This window comes from Homo sapiens, chromosome 11, assembly GCF_000001405.40.
Source record: "Homo sapiens chromosome 11, GRCh38.p14 Primary Assembly".
Lineage (NCBI taxonomy): Eukaryota > Metazoa > Chordata > Mammalia > Primates > Hominidae > Homo > Homo sapiens.
The window spans coordinates 6,054,644-6,073,638 of NC_000011.10; the positions used below are offsets into that span (position 1 = coordinate 6,054,644).

The 18,995-nt window shown below is 41.4% G+C and overlaps 2 pseudogenes, besides 1 other annotated feature; both read right to left on the minus strand.

Annotated features, from left to right (window-relative positions):
- OR52L2P (olfactory receptor family 52 subfamily L member 2 pseudogene) lies at window positions 2,576-3,687 on the minus strand (annotated as a pseudogene).
- Window positions 12,070-13,249, minus strand: OR52X1P (olfactory receptor family 52 subfamily X member 1 pseudogene; annotated as a pseudogene).
- Window positions 15,346-15,917: an enhancer, noted in NCBI's record as "OCT4-NANOG-H3K27ac hESC enhancer chr11:6091219-6091790 (GRCh37/hg19 assembly coordinates)". NCBI's record gives its function as "activates a minimal SCP1, AML or CMV promoter by ChIP-STARR-seq in naive H9 embryonic stem cells {active_cell/tissue: H9 hESC(naive)}" and the evidence as "EXISTENCE:reporter gene assay evidence [ECO:0000049][PMID:30033119]".

Genomic DNA, 18,995 nt, shown 5'->3' on the forward strand with positions numbered 1-18,995 from the left:
AGGGGAAACATGGGAGTGAATACTTCTCTTTCCTCTCCTCTTCTCCCTTCCTTTGCTTGCTTTTCCATATGGAAAGAAGGATCACTAATACAATTGAAGAGATTGTTGGAAGCAATGGCTGCAATGGTATGAAACATGCTGTACCTGTTTCACTGCCTGCCTCATGGATATGTAAGGATGGCAGTGGACTCCTTTGCTTTATACTCGAATACCATAACCTCACCTGCAGAAAAGCCCATGATTTTCCTTCTAGGGAGAGAAACCTAGAAGATAACCGTGATCTGTATTGCATTTTATGTTCTGCTAGGGGTTCTGTTTATGGGGTCCTATAGTCCTCCGTGCAGATGGCTGGCAAATTATACTTGGAGCCTAATTTTCCAGGTCAAATCTCCTCATGGATAGGGGAAGGGAGTAGGAAGAAATCTCAAGATCTAGAATTAAGGGAAGGGAATTGAGGGTCTCTTGTTTGTCCCCTGGTCCCACTTGTATTTTCCAACCATGAATAACCAGACAATCCTGGATATGGAAGTTACTGGGTTCTAATTGTTATGATTTTGACCCCTATTTAATTCCTTGTGGACATTCGCTACTGCTAAGAGTGTGAATGGGCTAGCGAGAAATCTGCACTTTTAATCTCTGACAGCACTACTGAGCTTCTTCCTCTCAAAAACGTACCCTGTCTCCTCCAGGTGGAGAAGGATCTAATTCTAGAATGGGAGATCTGTTCCCCTAGTCCTACATAGAAAATGACACTAAAAATTATTAAAAGGAAAAACTGAGCACTCACTGCAGAGGTATCAATTTTGTGTATTCATTGACTATAATATTTCTTATCACAAATAATTATTGAGGGTGTATATTGTGTTGAAAAATGACAGGCACTTGGTAATGAGAAGTACATGGAAGACAAAAGAATCCTGCCTCCCTGAAGCCTACAATCTAGCATGAAAGATATACACAGCACAAGTAATATCACAAATTTTGCTAGAATTGTAATCATTCCAATTCAAGACATTGGATTGCAAACACTGTTTACTTCCTCTCTCTCTCCCAGTGTACCCATTAAATTGCTAAAGAAATATAAAAATGAAAATAATGCAATAACAATATAGAATATGAGCAAATATACTTGGATTGCATCATATACTTTGAGAAATTTTTGGAATTCATAAATCAGACTAAATTGGATTCATAGAAAAACTGGGACCCAAAAACCTGCAAACCAATGTGTAGTTATGTATATGTGGAGGGTGGGAACTATAGGGGAAGAGGAATTGGAAAAGTTAAAGCTTGATGCAGGGCTGGGAAATGTTCTCATTAAGAGATTCAGGGTGCAAACCTCATCATTACACAATATATCCCTGTACCAAACCTGCATATGTAACCCCTGAATCTATTTTTAAAATCTAAAAATTTTAAGAGATCCCAAGGGATACTCCAAGTTTAAAATCAATAAAATGATAACAGTAATTGAAAGCAATTAATTAGTGCATTGATTAATTTATTGTTATTCTACTTCCAGCAATTGGATCAGTTTAGTATGAAACCTGGCTCCCTATAAAATGCAAGAGGCAACTTTGTATCTTCAAACCCTATAATTGCAGTGGGGCAGATGTAATCAGAGGCAATTACAAGGTAACTTTGGTTCTCCAAGTTACAAATAGAGAAAAGGTATGGAGAGGCAGCTCCACAGGTCAGCAAACTATACCAGATTATCTCTGATTGCAGATATAAAAGCTTCTCTACTTCAGCAAAAGATGAGGGAATGCAGCTCATCTTTCATTTTCCTCTTGACAGCCTGAGGAGAATTCTGTCTGTTAGCAAATCCGTGTACAATGACCTACAAAGTCCTACAATTGGGGCACAAGAGCAGTGACCTTTACAGGCTCTGAGAAAACTCACAGCGAGGACCCAACCATTTAATTCTCATCTACAAACAAATAAGAGTAAAAATCTACAAATAATTGAGAAAAAACTAGTATCGTGAAGAAAGGACCAGGCTGAACAAGCGGAGAAACTCATCCCTTAAAGAAAAGAGTAAATGCAAGAAAAAAGTCATTTATAATATGCATAATAAATATTTTAGAAATGTCCTAATTTATGCATTTTGATGTGGCAGAAAAGTAAAGGAATCTAAGTCATCCTAAAAGACACGAAAAGGTTCATCTAAAGGGTTAACACTAGCATTTAGCTGAATGGCTGTACCATGTAAATGTGCTGCCAGCACAAACTTAGAGGTTTGGAAGACACTCTAAACCTAAAACCAAGCTGAGGGTGGGACTTCCCATTGCCATTCCAGAGAATGTTGCATAGTCTATCACTGGGCAATGGCAGGAAAGATGACACATCCAGAGCTGTCATCCATTTCTACTGTCCTCAAGTCTCTCTGACACAGGAGTAGGAAAATGTTGGAATCAGGAGCAAAAGAAAGAATGGAAAAACTATTCACAAATTCAGGTATCCAGATACATCCCAATAAGCTGTGAAGCCAGGTGCCTCTGGATATTCTTTGCTGTGATATGTGACACTAGAAGGACTGCTCGCTGTGAAAATTACCCCATCCATATAATCTGCACCAGCCATGAGTTCCTGGCTATGTCCTGGCAGGTGCCTCTGAAGGAAACAGTGAGAATATATTCAGGTCAATCCTTTAGTGTAAACACCCTGAGCACTCACTGGTGGATCTTCTGGGTCTTCACCCCATAGACAAGAGGATTGAGTGCAGGTGGCACAAGGCGATACAGTATGGCCAGAAGAACATGGACGTGATGGGGTACATGATGACCAAAGCGGTGAGTGAGGAAGGAGAACATTCCCGGGATATAGAAGACCAGGATGACACAAACATGAGAGCCACATGTGCTAAACGCCTTAAGTCGGGCCTCATTTCCTGGTACCTTCAGCACTGCCTGGAGAATGTGGGCATAGGAAACACCAATGGCCAGGACATCCAGCCCAACCACAAGCAAGGCCACAGTCAGCCCATAAGCTCGATTGACTGTGGTTTCTGAGCAGGCAAGTTTCACAACAGCCATATGTTCACAATAGGCATGGCCTATGATGGTGGCTTGGCAGAAGATAAGTTTTCGCAACAGAATGAGGAAGGGGATGAGGAGTAGTAATCCCCGCACCAGCACCACCATTCCGATGTGCCCTATGACCCCTGGATGCAGGATCGTGGAATGGTGCAAGGGGTGACAAATGGCTACATAGCGATCCAGAGCCATGGCCACAAGTACCCCTGACTCCATGGAGGAGAATGCATGGGTGAAGAACATCTGGATCAGGCAGACAGTGTAACCAATCTCTTGGGCACGAACCAGGAGCACTGCAAGGGCTTTGGGTGCAGTGGAGGAGGCCACAACCAGGTCGATGGCAGCTAGCATGGACAGGAAGAGGTACATAGGTTGGTGCAAGGATGGGTCCATCCAGATGATGAAGAGAATGGTAACATTGCCCACTAGAGCAAGGAGGTAAAGGATGCCCAGGGGCAGTGCGATCCAGTGCTGGCTTTCCTCTAAACCCGGAATTCCTACCAGGAAAAAAGAAGGCTGGGGTAGCCTCCAGCTGGAATTGCTAAGCGCCATTATCAATGACTTGAGGAGGAAAGAGAAAAAAGAATCCAAATTCATGATTTCTGCATTTCTGGTACATTATCACATAGTCCAGATCACATTGTCTACCATCTTCATGAGAAGAATAAAGTGACTAAAACTGCAACCAAAGGGAATAAAGTTAGATACAAGAAAGAAAATCTTTGGTGGAGATAAATTTTTTTACAGGTGAGACATCCACATGTCTGAATTAGAATAGGTCTAGTTTTTTTAGAGATAAGAGTAAACATACACTGTTTTGGGAGAGATGCATAAGCTTTAACCATTCAGTTGCTTATGTTTTGAAGCTGCCAACTTCAAAGGGTTCTCTTTATTAGCCTCTTGGCGTTACTGAACACAGTAAATTAAACTGTTGTTTTTGAAATTAGCCTCCCTCAGTTTCCGTGAAGTGGCACTCTAGAGTTGTTTCTCCTATAGCCTCAGTCCCACCATTTTCTCCATCTCATTATGTTGTTGATTCCAGGGATCCATCCTCTCCTCTTTTCCCTATTCAGTACATTATCTCTGAATTGACCTCATCCACTTTCATAGTTTTATCTATCTACTTTTATTTCTTTCAAATCTGTGTTTCTAAGTCAAATATCTTTCTGAAACACAAATCATTCTTTCCATTTGCTTCCTGAATAGCTATACTATAGCCTCAACATATTCAAAACTAAATTAATTCATCTATCCTTCTTAAATCTGTCCTACCTACCTTTGGCAATATTTTTATGAATTACATTACTATCCATCTACCAAACCCAATCTAGAAACTCGGAAACTATCTTTACTTATTCTTATCTCTCATCCCTTTTCCCCATTCGCCAATTCCTGTTAACTGCATTTTTAACACATAGCTGTTATATCCACTCCTGTTTTCAACCCCCGATGTCAAACATCCAACTTCTCTCACCTGTACTGTTTCATTACATCTCTCTGCCTTTGCTGTAAACATCTTCCCAATTCACTCTCAACCTTAAAGTCAGGTTTTTCCTAAAATGCAGATGTCGTTATGTCGTGCCTATGGCTAAAATCCTTCAGTGAATCTATTGCATGGAATAAAATCATACTCTTAAGACTGCATTAAAGGTTTTCAAGGGTTATCTATTGTGTATTACTTTGGTCTTACAGTTAACATATTTCTACATGTATGTTTTACTAAACCATTCCAACATTCTTGGAGTTATATGACTAAACTCTCCTATTTTACATATGCCTTTTGTGTAGTCTTTCTTCCACTTCCTTTATCTGAATTGGTCTTCCTCACTCTTGAAAATTTAGAGTCTACTCTCTTCTGCTGCTCAAAAGGACTCATTGGCTGTGTTAGGTCAAGAGTGATTATGTCACGAGCACTGTATGTTATGATCCTTCTTTGTTCATCCATAACTTTCTTGCTTATCTCCATCATAGAAATCCTGTCAGCATCTTAATGGCTTGTTTTAAAGAACTGTATCTCATTACATGTCATGATTATAAGCTAGCATGGATGCTTCACAATGCAGTGTGATAAATACAAGCTTTGCGGGCAAAGTTTGTTAAAATTCTGTCCATTTCATATTCTAGGAATAAAATCTTGCTAGGCTTCTAAAACTCTCTAAGTCTTAATTTCCTTATTTCATATTAGAATAAATAATATTAATCTTAAATACTAAAAATTTTAACTAATGTATGTAAAGTCTTGATATATAGGTTACCTTATAAAGTATAGTCTATAAATTATAGTTCTTTTTTAATGTTACTAATAAAAGATGGCTATGAGCTCTTAGTCATCTTTTATTAAGTTGGTACAAAAGTAATTGTGATTTTTGCCGTTGAAAGTAATGGCAAATATTAATAGCAATATTATTAATGTTTAAAAAGATAACTATAATTACCTTTCCTTTCTTCTTTGTCTTCATGACTCTGCTTCTCTGATTCAAACTTTTGATATGTTTACCTGTCATCATGATGTTATAGCAATTCAGTGTCTCTGACACCCCACGTTAACATGAACTATTGAATAAACAGCTGTCTGTTTAACCTTCTCCATGGGATTCACCCCTCAAGTATTAAAATAAGAAACTTGCAACTGGTTACATTTGTGTCTGTATGTTTATCTTAAAAGACAGATGTAGTCTGAAACAACTATATTTTTCTTTGTTGGGGTGGTGGTTCGTGTACATGTACATGTGAAGATTTTTAAAAGTCAAGAATGACTCAGTTCTTGTGGATTATGCATCTATAGATCACTCAGTGTGTCTTTTTTACAAATCAATAATGTTTGGGAACTATCATATTGCCCCCAAACTCTCAATATAACAACTATAAGTTCTGAAATTCTAGGTGGGCATATGTCTCCCAGCCTTTGTCTTTCTTCAAGAGTCAACTTAAAATAATGATGACATTTTTATTGAGACTTCCAGGGGAATCTTATACTCTTGCAAAAAAAAAAAAAAAAATCACCTTTCAGTGCTTAATATTCCACATACTGAGGAAGTTAATTCTCTTTCTTAGCTACTCCCCTTCTGTTACAACCATCAGCTCATTTCTCATTTTATAGCTGAGAAGTTGAAGAACAGGTATGTGTTTGTGGAAGGCACCCGTGGCTTTAATAGAAACAGTGTGCATAAAGCAGTGAGACTGAAACCGTACTACAGAAGGTGAAGCAGAGGGGCAGAGACACGAACCTGAATATAATCTGCTTCTTTTTTATGCTGCATGGCTTGTGAGACTAGAGCAAAAGCCTACATCTGCTTATTAAGCACTAATTATTAAAGTAAATAGGAGATCCCTCTGTGATTCTTAGAAGAAAAGCAGAAGGGACTTTATTCCCAAGAACCTAAAAGTGAAGCTCTATTTAGTTCTCCAACCAGAAAGCAGGGGACAATTAGCGAAGAGCTGATGCTGTTGAACTACTACTTATTCATCTACATTCAATCTAAGCAACCTATCTTCTGTGAAGTTGTGCTTGAATTCTGTAAGACAGCATAATGTGTCTCCTTTTCTTTCCCTTTGTGATGTCTTTACCACTTTGTCATTGCATTGATGACCTTGCACTTTAAAAAGCAGGGACTATGCCTTGCTTATTGCAGCAGCCCCAGGGCAAGCTCCAGAAGCACCTAGAATCCAGTCGGTAATCAGTAATGTTGGTTGAATAAATATCCATATGATTAGATTAAATAATAAATAAATAAGTGTATGAGTGTCTTAAAAGGCTGAAGATTATGAAAATTTGATAAGGCAGAGACTGAATTTAAGTAAAGGAATAAAGTAGCAGACACTGGGTTGCCGTCTGAGGGGATTACTGATTGAGTGTTGACAGTCCTCACCTTAAGTGATGCTCTGGGTGCTTCATGGCAGAAAGATCCCTGCTGATTCATCACTATCTCGCATGCAAAGAAGTGATAAAGAAATCCTAGATGTGTCAGAAATAAGGGGATTCCTGTGGTCACTGGTAGTCACTTCTGCTCCTAGCAGGCAGGGAGGCCTCTATGGGATGTGACTTGTCTCTCTCTCTCTTTAATCTCTTTCTCAGCAGTGATCTGGACTCTATGATAGTCGGGAGGAAAGGAGACAAGAACCTAGGCAGAAAAAGAGCAGTGGAGGACACAGAAATAGTGGGTCCATGATAATGACCTAATAAGAGAGGAAGATACAGAAATCAAGCACTAAGAGGCAGAGCTTCACTGCACAAATCGGAGACACATAGATAATCAATAAAGTAAGCCTGGCAAAGGGCACTGTCCTACTGGTCTCTGGATTGTCTTTGAGGATGTGCCCTTTAAAGTCTTGGGTCAACCTGGAGGGAGACTCAGCAGCACAAAGAAAACTAGGAAAGGGAGAAAATTCCCAGATTCAGGAAGGTTCTGTTATAGCCCTCCCTGCTCATCTCCAGGAACACCCTGAGTCCTCTGTTCAACCTCCACAATGGTCTTCTGCCTTAGCTTATGTGTAACAATGATAAAGAGGACTTTCTCTTCAGAAGGGCTGCACAGCAGTCTCTGAATGCCAAAGAGGACATCAAATGCATCCCTCGAGGTCTGTACAGCTAAAGTTTCCCAAAGATATGAAACATGAGTACTAGCTTTGGCAACACATGGGTAAACTGTATCTACATGCATGATATTTGATGGTGAGGATGCCACCTAGGACCATGCTAAATGGTCCTGTGAATGCCTCAGGCTGATCATGAAGGCTTAAAGAGATTGGTAGGCACCTGTAGGCACACAAGTTAACTTGCAGCAATGAGCCGTCCCCTAATCTCTCTCCATCTGTATTCTTTCTTATCTTTCTTTTTTTCCCACTGTCATAGAGTCCAGGCCACTGTTAAGAAGGAGATTAAGGATAGAGAAATAGGTCACATTTCACAGAAGAGCCTCCCTTCCCACTAGCATCTAAATGGTAGAAACTAGGAGAGGCTTCATTTTGAGAAGTCAGGCCCGGAGAGAGCAACTACTTTAACTCAGGGGGAAATAAAGACTACGAAGAAGTGTCAGACCAGACGTATTGGGAAACTCAGAGTCACACTAGCCAAGCCAAAAAATAACCTCTGTCACAGGGAAAATGAGAAGGGCAGGAGTCAGCTGGCTGTAGTCTTCCCCCACCATGAGCCCCAAAACTGACCTCATTTTTCACACCTGAATTTCTGTGCACCAGGGGTCGCTGGTTCTGTCATCGTCACCCTGAAAGGAAGGTCATTCTTGATACCTTACCAAGGCAGTGATGGTGACTGTGAGCAAGGCACTGGGCAGGCAGGATGTTATTACCAACTGGCAGGTCCCAGAGCTCTCACAGACACACCTGGGCAAAGCCAAAAGTAGCCCCTAGATTGACTAGAGGAACACAGAGCTAAAGTTACAGCCCACAGGGATGGGTGATTGGACAGAGAGGCCAAGCAGGGAGAGTGACTCCTGCACCTAACCAGGTGGCCCATATCTGTTCAGCGTTGTTCATTACCCCTAAGCCTGTACATCCTGTTGGTGATAGGAAACCTTGTGCAGTGAGCTGGGAAATTTCACATTGCTCTGTGAGCTCAGACTTCTCATTCTCACAGAACAATCTTAGACCCCAGGAAATGCTTTAGTGAATGCTGTGGCTCAATGTGCTTATTCCTCCAGGTGCAGGTAGTGTTGGCTTCTGGAAGCTGATAACTAAGTCACTCTCCTTTGGCTAAAGAGAGCAGTCTCGCCTAAGATTACTTTTCCTTCCCCAAGCAGCTCATAGCCAATGACTGGTGATATAAGAATACAAAGTCCTGGCCCCCTTTCTTCATCTTAAACAACACTGAGGAGTCATTCTAACTCATGAGGTCCTATTTGATTAGCTAAGTCACCTGAGACAACTCGATCATAGTTTAATTTCTTCTTCAGCCCCTCTCACTCCATGACAGTTTAATTTCACTCCTCTCACTCCATGACAGTCATTGTTACCATATATATGTCACAATAAACTTCCTGCATGCAAATCTCTGCTCCAGAGTCTGTTTCTGGGGAAGCCAACCTAAGACAAATGCTGCCAGCCTCAGGTTGAGTTGAGCACTTTGCTTCTCCTCTATAGGATAGTGACAAACCCAAGGGCCTCAAACCCATTGCCATGGTACATGTGGGATAAATAGGGCTCCTCCAACAGTCCCTCCAAGGAAGTTCCCAATGAGATGGGCTGAGGCTTCCTTTATCATATTTTCCCATCATAAATAGACCCTTCTGTTAGTTCCATCTCTGATTGAAGCAGCTTCCCACTCTACCCAGTGGCCATATTCTCCTTGGGAACAATGCCTCAAGTGCACAGTCCTTCCATTCATCCAGTCAACAAGTATCTCATTCACAGCTTGTGGGGAGCCCTATTTATTCATTTATTCAATAAATATTAAATATATACTAATTCCATGTACTCTGCTAGATTTTGGAAAAAACAAACGATATGATAAAATGGTTCTCATGGGTCTTGGGATGATATATGTTAAGTATATGATCATAGAATTAATTACAGTTATAAGTGTTATATATTAAAACTATAATGTTTTAAAAGCATATAATAGAAGGACCTCCCCAGTATGGGGACTTCAGGAAAGCCCTCCCTAATTTAAGTTAGTGACCAGAAGACTTGGTTAAAGTGAAGGGCAATATGGAGATAGGGTGCGTACACAAAACATGAGCAGAAGAAAAAGGACTCTGGTAATTTCAAAGACCTGAAAGAATTTTTAAAATTAGAGATTGTAGTACTCAGGACTGAGCCTGGAGTGCAAGCAGGAACCCGAGCATACTGGGTCTTTTGGGCCATGTTAAAGGGCCATGGAAATCATGAAGGATTTTAAGCAGAGGATTGAGATATGATTAACATCTCATTAACAAAATGACATCTTAGGAAAATGGAGAGGCCAAGGCTAAGCATAGATGGCAGGAGATCTTTGGGGAAGAAAATTCAGTGATCTCTACAGAGGTTTAAGGATGTGTCATGAGAATGGGTAGATGAGGTAGGTATCTTTGGGAATAAAGAAATTGAGAATATGAAAAGCCAGAGTGTTCAATGGATTATCCACATAAATACTGATGTCTCCCACCAGGGTCATGGGTGGCAAAATAAAAACAGAGAAGATGTGGACCATGTCATCATTTAATGAAGGCGAGTAGAGGAGAGATAACAGTAACCAGAAGTGATAGAGGATGATATGAGTGAGTGACATGAACCTCAAAGAAGCACCAGTCTTTGCTTATTTGTTTGTTTGTTTGCTTTTACAGGAAAGAACTGAAAATTGTATTTGAGAACAAAGACACTAAACTTACCACCATGCCAAAAGTAGAAGAGATATGAGAAACTAAATGATCCCCACTTAGTAGGAAGCATAATATTGCATCAGAAATAAAATGGGAATAATTATAGCACCTGCTTTATTTGCATTTTGTGACCAATAAATGAAAGAGTGTATCTGCAAAGTTTTTACTTCAAGAACTCAAGGTACCATGTAGTAAGAGCTGAACACACAGGAGCTGCCTTTGTTATCAAGATTTCTCACTAATACAGCATATTCAAGATAGAATTCTTCAGAGCTAGTTTGCCCAGAGCACTTAGAGACCTCTAAGCCCTTATAGCAGTGATTCTGTCTTATAATAGTAACTATGCCCCCCAATGCCCCTGCACAGCATCCAAAATACCGCCATTTGAAACTACAACTTTTGCAAAGACTATTGAGGTTAAGGTGATGTTTGAAGTGATGATGGTAGTAAAGAAAATAGTGTTAGTAGTTATTGTTACAGCAATGTTTTTTCATTGCTTTAACAAAAATATATTGAATGTCCAGTCATAAAAATATTTGTAGTCATTTATTCAAAAGCACATACTATGTTAATATGACTAATGAAGAAATACGCTAGTGACCATTAAAATAATGAGACTTATTTATTAACACATGCTTATTGATAGCATATTATATGTCAGGAACTATTTTAAGAATACAGTAGAAATCACTATCTAGTAGGAATGCAGACAGAGATTATTTATCCAACAAAAATATATATAATTATAAATTATAATGAATAATAAAAGAAACACACAGTATTCTGAGATCAGAAAACAAATGATTTAATGTAATTAAAAGAATCTTTTCTAAGGAGATGAGGTTTGAACTAAGGTGAAAGATGAGTAGAAACAGCAAGAATAAGGACAGGGAAAAGCATTTGTATTAGGAGGAGCCTGGACAACCTGCCTGGAGGGAGCATAAATATTTGACGAAATAAAGAAGAGTATTTATGTATATTAGGAATACATAACACTCAAATAATACTAATATATTTCAAGGATATGCAAATACATAAGCACATAACACAAACACATTAAAATGAATGCCAGTGGTAGGAACTGGGAAGGAAATGAACAAGACATTAAGAAATAAAGACAGAAAATAAACAAACAGAACAATAATCAGAACAATAATCGTTGCATGCAATAAGCATACAAGTATGATTAACTCAAAGTCTTGCAGCTGAGACTAAAAATGAAGAAATGAAACTACAGGTATCATAGAGGGCCATTCATCTCAAAAACAGAATGAAAAAATACTGGAAATAGAGAAAACAACCTTAACCTGCAATTCTAGTCAGATGGAACATGAATATTTTAAAGTATTTCTTTCATAAATTTGAACTCAAAATTATCTCCATAGTTTGCCACCCTTCTTTCTCTGAAGCTAAGTAGGTGGTAGAGAGGCCATTCTCTTCCCATGGACTGGCTGTGAGTGAGAGCTGTGGTGGTGTGAGGTGCCCCATTTTTTTCATATGTCCAGCTCATCTCTTTCTGATCTCCTAAAACACTTGAATTCAGATTCATCATATTACCTGATGCATTTATCTTATCAACACAAATAAAACATAAACTTTCAGAAGAAAAAATATCAAAAAGATTTCCTGCTTATTGATCAATTGAGATATCCCAGCCCTTCTAATAGTTTTCCATCCCAATGTATAAATACCATAGACCTCAGAAGAGATTTCCTAACTTCCAAACACCTAGGATAACTTTCCCTGCTTTCTTTTTACTCTCTGCACAAGATAAATGACTGGGCTATGGGGCTTCCACCCAGTGAGAGAGGGCCACCCTGGACCCTGAAGTCCAGCTGGTGATAACTATACTCAGGTAAGCTCAATCTGCTTGGGGCTTAGAATCATCAATAGCCGCTCCTAGATCTGCTTGGTCTCCATGCCATAGACAATGGGATCCAGTGCTGGGGGAAAGAGCAAGTAGAGATTGGCAAGGATGACCTTGGCAGTAGAAGCTGTGGGTGCTCCAAAGCGCTGCATGACCACAGAAAGAAAGCCCAGTCCATAGAAGAAGAGGATGACACAGACATGGGCTGTACATGTGCTGCCTGCTTTCGCACGTTCCTCAGGTGAAGGAAAATGCATTACAGTCCTCACAATCAGCCCATAAGAATAGGCAATAAGACCACATCCCCCCCACCAAGAAAGATTGCCACCACAAAGGCATAGAGGTTGTCCACAGTGGTGGCCTCACAGGCAAGCTTCACCACTGCCATATGCTCACAGAAGGTATAGGCAATCATGTGTGAGCCATGGTAGTGCAGCCTATGGGCCAAGCTTGGAAAGGAGATGGTCAATCCCACCCCTCACAACACCACCAGGCCTCCAATCTTGGCAACAACAACAGGTGGAAGGATGGTTGCATAACGCAGTGGGTTGCAGATGGCCACAGAGCGGTCCAGGGCCATGGCCACTAGCACCCCTGACTCCATGGCAGAGAATGCATGGATGGAGAACATCTGGGAAAGACAGGAATGCGAGCTGATGGCTGTAGCACCAAACCAGAAAATGGCCAGCATCTTAGGCAGTGTGGAGAGAGAGAGGACCAAGTCGACAAAGGAGAGCATGGCAAGAAAAAGAAACATGGGCTGGCGAAGGCTGCATTCTGTCCGGATGAGAAAAAGCAGGACACCATTCCCAGTCAATGACAGGAAAAACATAAAGCAAAAGGGAAGTGAGATCCAAATGTGGGTGGCAGTCAATCCTGGGATGCCAGCCAGGAAGAAAGTATGTGGGAAGAGAACAGAATTATTGGAAAAAAACCATGGTTATCATGTCACATGGAAGAACAAAGTGACATTGCAGAGAAAGGCAGGCTGGTGAAATTCAGTGATGTAGCAGTTGGGAGCTCAGGACATATGCTCTCACTGACACCATCACCACCACATCACTCTCCCCTACAGTTCTCAGAAAAGAGTAGAAAATAATTTTCAGTTTAGTCAATATTTCTGCAAGGTCTTCAAACACAAAAGAGGCAAGTTAGTGGGAAATGCATTGGGTGAGATTTTTCCAGTGGCAAATAAATGCATTGGACAGGAAGTTCAGAAACCAGTTTCTAGTATTAGATATTCTACAATATGTGTGACCTGGGGAAATTCACACAAACAGATTTAAGTAGATGCCCAGGGCTTGTTGTTGCATAAAAATTATCCCATTAAGTTCATATCTCCAAGTTTTGAATTCAGGTGCTTGATTTAATCAATGCTGACCTCATATAGTTCTCCAGTCTTATCCCACTAAGCCTCATTTAAAATTGCCAAAAATTCTAACATCTGAAAAAATCCCTTAATTTAGAGACATTCCACTCTTCAAAGCTTCATTTGACTGTAAAGTTTACAGAATAACATATGGTCCCTGATAATTCCAACACTGATCAGGCTCTTCCTTGGATATTCCTGTCCACTTCACTTGCTCCTCTACCAGATATCTCAATGGTTGTCTGCTTTACCACCTCCTGTATTTTCTGCTCCTTCAAGTTGGTGTTGTATAGGGATAGACACAAAGTTCAGAGCTGTGGTGACCTGGATAAACAAAAGCTCTGGTAATAACAATAATGTGAAAGCCAAAAAATTCTATACTACCGCCACCTTACTGAGATCATGAGAGACCTTGGCAGATGTGCCCTCCAGTTCTTCTTTTCAGGTTATTACATTAAGAGTGCACAACATTATTCATCATTATTCATGTCCCTAGCATACACTACGTTCAACATATTCATTTTATTTATTAGAAAACTGAGGTCTGTAAAAAGTACATTTCCCAGGGCTATAGCTCTCTGTAGTGACAGAATCAGACCACAGCTCACATCCACTGACCTCCAAGCTAGGAAGCCATCCTCCTATCTCCATGTTAGCAGTGGCTATTGCAGAGCCAGGGAAGAAACTCCAGGGCCCCATGGCCAAAGGTAGGAAGTACAGAGTGATCAAATAATAGGGCAAACAAGGAATGATTTAGGGATCATGTGAATCCCCCAATATCCCCAATACCTCAAGTACCACAATACTCTCAGGTGAGAGACAAACACAGGACTCACATATACCTGGGTCTAGGGCCTGGTAGGGCTTTGGAATGCGAGACAAGTGATTCACGTTCTAGGCATAAAAGGTGCAGCTTTAATAACAGCAAGAAGAGGTCTCTAAGTGTGAGACAAAGGAGCAGAAGTCAGCCTGGAACATAGTCTAAGTAAGAAGAAACAGTACAGATTTAAAATGGCCAAAGTTTTGCTTTTCTCTCCAAGAGAACATATAGTTATTGCCCATACCTTCCACCACAGCTGCTGAGGAGACTGCAATGACAACAGACGGTGAGAGGGCTGGGAAGATGGGAAATCAATGTGGACCTATAGTTCTTATGTCATAGAATAAACTCTACAATAGAAGTCAAGATCCTGGTTTGAGGTACTATTTCTGCCATATATCTGCATGTGACTTTCAGCAAAGCATCTAACCATTTTCAAGCCTTAGTTTCTTCACGTGTGAAAGGAGTAAACTAAAATCTGCCTCATAGGATCATTGTGAGAACTGAAGGAAATATAATATGTGGAAATACTTTGTCAAATGCTGAAAATATTATTATTATATTCACTGAATTATAAGCAATAAATGGTGCACAGGGAGCACTTTAGTTAAGAACAAGAGAAATTTTTGAAATTCAGAGACAACGGATTTGATTTGGCAAAGGTGATCAGATAGATGCATCCCATGGGTGGATAACGTGTAGTAGTTAACTGGAGCAACCCAGTCAAAAACACTATATCCTCCCTCATGTTTCTCCCTTCATTCTTCCAAATTTTCATGCACGTCCATGTGAAGAGACCACCAAACAGGCTTTGTGTGAGCAACATGGCTGTTTATTTCACCTGGGTGCAGGCGGGCTGAGTCCGAAAAGAGAGTCAGCAAAGGGAGATAAGAGTGGGGCCATTTTATAGGATTTGGATAGGCAAAAGAAAATTACAGTCAAAGGGGTTTTGTTCTCTGGTGGGCAGGAGTGGGGGGTCGCAAGGTGCTCAGTGGGGGAGCTTTTTGAGCCAGGATGAGCCAGGAAAAGGACTTTCACAAGGTAATGTCATCAGTTAAGGCAAGGACCGGCCATTTACACTTCTTTTGTGGTGGAATGTCATCAGTTAAGGTGGGGCAGGGCATATTCACTTCTTTTGTGATTCTTCAGTTACTTCAGGCCACCTGGGCATATATGTGCAAGTCACAGGGGATGCGATGGCTTGGCTTGGGCTCAGAGGCCTGACATTCCTGCCTTCTTATATTAATAAGAAAAATAAAACAAAATAGTGTTGAAGTGTTGGGGCGGCAAAAATTTTTGGGGGGTGGTATGGAGAGAGAGTGGGCGATGTTTCTCAGGGCTGCTTTGAGCGGGATTAGGGCGGCGCGGGAACCTAGAGTGGGAGAGATTAAGCTGAAGGGAGGTCTTGTGGTAAGGGGTGATATTGCGGGGATGTTAGAAGAAATATTTGTCATATAGAATGATTGGTGATGGCCTGGATATGGTTTTGGATGAATTGAGAAATGAAATGGAATAACAGAAGGAGAAAAACAGGTATAAAAGGTCTAAGAATTGGGACGACTCATGATATCTGATTAGAGAGTGCCTAAGGAGATTCAGCACAGTCCTGCCAGCAAAGATTATTTATTTACTTCAAGAGTTAAGAGTGGCAGTTTGGGGATAGCACCAGGAGATATCAGCTGTGATGGCTTGGAGAAACAGTGTAAACTGGCAGTGTAAACAAGAGCAGGACATGTATGAGTAGTTGAGAACGGTGAATAGGAGTATGACTAGACAGAAGATAGTAGGGATGACAAGTTTTTTTGGGGCACAGTCTAAGTTGGTCTGGTGTCTGGAATGAGACTGGGGCCTAATAAAAAGGAGAGTCTATACAGGAGCTTAAATGGGCTGTAGCCTGTAGCATTCTGAGGACAGGTCTGACTTCTGAGAAGGAAAAGTGGTAAAAGTATTGTTTAGTCCTTTTTAAGTTGGTGGCTGAGCTTGGTGAGGTGTGTTTTTAAAAGACCTTTAGTCCATTCTACTTTTCTTGAAGATGGAGGACCGCAAGGGATATAAACGTTTCACTGAATACTAAGAGCCTGAAAAACTGCTTGGCTGATTTGACTGATAAAGGCTCATCTGTTATCAGACTGTATAGAGGTGGGAAGGCTAAACTGAGGAATTATGTCTGACAGAATGGAAGAAATGACTGCAGTGGCCTTCTCAGACCCTGTAGGAAAGGCCTCTACCTATCCAGTGAAAGTATCTACCTAGACTGAGAGGTATTTTAGTTATCTGACTCAGGGCATGTTGAGTAAAGCTAATTTGCCAGTCCTGGGTGGGGCAAATCCTCAAGCTTGATGTGTAGGGAAGGGAGGGGGCCTGAATAATCCCTGAGAAGTAGTAGAATAGCAGATGGAACACTGAGAAGTTATTTTCTTGAGGATAGATTTCCACGATGGAAAGGAAATGAGAGGTTCTAAGCGGCAGGCTAGTGGCTTGTACTATAGCATAACCTGCCTTTGCTGGTGTGTGGCGATTAGGCCTGGTGGAACGGCCATCAATAAATCAAGCGTGATCACGGTGAGGAACAGGAAAGAAGGAAATTTGGGGAAATGGGGTGAATGTCAGGTGGATCAGAGAGATATAGTCATGGGGGTCAGGTGTGGTATCAGAAATAATGTGGGAGGCCGGATTGAAGTCCGGGCCAGGAACAATGGTAATTGTGGGACTTAAAGAGTAAGTACAGCTGAAGGAGCCAGGGAGCAGAAAGTATATGCATCAGGTATGAGGAAGAAAATAGATTTTGGAAGTTATGAGAAATGTAGAGAGTGAGTTGAGCATACTTTGTGATTTTTAGGGCCTCTGACAGTATTACAGCAGTGGCAACCACTGCACACAGACATGAGGGCTAGGCTAAAACAGTAAGGTCAACTTGTTTGGACAGAAAGGCTACACGGTGTGGTCCTGGCTCTTGTGTAAGAATTCTGACTGCACTAACCATGCCTAGGAAGGAAAGGAGTTGCTCTTTTGTAAGGGATTGAGGTTTGGGAGATTAATCGGACACCATCAGCAGGGAAAGCACGTATGTTTTTATGAGAATTATGCCGAGTTAGGTAACAGATGAGGATGAAATTTGGGCTTGATTGAAGTAATGGGGGCTGTCTATGAAGCCTTGCGGCAGTACAGCCCAGGTAATTTGCTGAGCCTAATGGGTGTCAGGGTCAGTCTAAGTGAAAGCAAAGAGAGGCTGGGAAGAGGGGTGCAGGGGAATAGTGAAAAAAGCATCTTTAAGATCAAGCACGCAATAGTGAATTGTGGAGGAAGGTATTGAGGACAAAAGAGTGTATGGGTTGGGCACCACAGGGTGGATAGGCAAAACAATTTGGTTGATAAGGCACAGATCCTGAACTAACTTGAAAGGCTTGTCTGGTTTTAGGACAGGTAAAATGGGGGAATTGTAAGGAGAGTTTATAGGCTTTAAAAGGCCATGCTGTAGCAAGTGAGTGATAACAGGCTTTAATCTTTTTAAAGCATGCTGTAGGATGGGATATTGGTGTTGAGCGGGGTAAGGGTGATTAGGTTTCAATGAGATGGTAAGGGGTGCATGATCGGTCACCAAGGAGGGAGTAGATGTATTTTATACTTGTGGGTTAAGGTGGGGAGATACAAGAGGAGGACACAAAGGAGGCTTTGGATTGGGAAGAAGGGTGGCAATGAGATATAGCTGTAGTCCAGGAATAGTCAAGGAAGCAGGTAATTTAGTTAAAGTGTCTCGGCCTAATAAGGGAACTGGGCAGGTGGGGATAACTAAAAAGGAGTGCTTAAAAGAGTGTTGTCTAAGTTGGCACCAGAGTTGGGGAGTTTTAAGAGGTTTAGAAGCCTGGCCGTCAATACCCACAACAGTTATGGAGGCAAGGGAAACAGGCCCTTGAAAAGAAGGTAATGTGGAGTGGGTAGCCTCCGTATTGATTAAGAAGGGGATGGGCTTACCTTCCACTGTGAGAGTTACCTGAAGCTCGGCGTCCGTGATGGTCTAGGGGGCTTCCGAGGCAATCGGGCAGTGTCAGTCTTCAGCCGCTAAGCCAAGAAGATCTGGGAAGGAGTCAGTCAGAGAGCCTTGGGCGAGAGTTCCAGGGGCTCTGGGAGTGGCTGCCAGGTGAGTTGAACAGTCTGATTTTCAGTGGGGTCCCACACAGATGGGACGCAGCTTAGGAGGAATACCAGGCTGTGGGCATTCCTTGGCCCAGTGGCCAGATTTCCAGCACATGTAGCAAGCTCCTGTGGGAGGAGGTTCTGGAGGAACACCTGGCCGCTGCAGTTCAGGTGTTTGGAAGTTCTTGTGTGCTGGAGATGTGGCTGGGGTTTGTCTCACAGTGGAGGCAAGGAATTGCAACTTTTTTCTATTATTGTACACCTTGAAGGCAAGGTTAATTAAATCCTGTTGTGGGGTTTGAGGGCCGGAATTTAATTTTTGGAGTTTTATTTAATGTCGGGAGCAGATTGGGTAATAAAATGTATTTTGAGAATAAGACAGCCTTTTGACCTTTTAGGGTCTAGGGCTGTAAAGTGTCTCAGAGTTGCTGCCAAACAAGTCATGAACTGGGTGGGA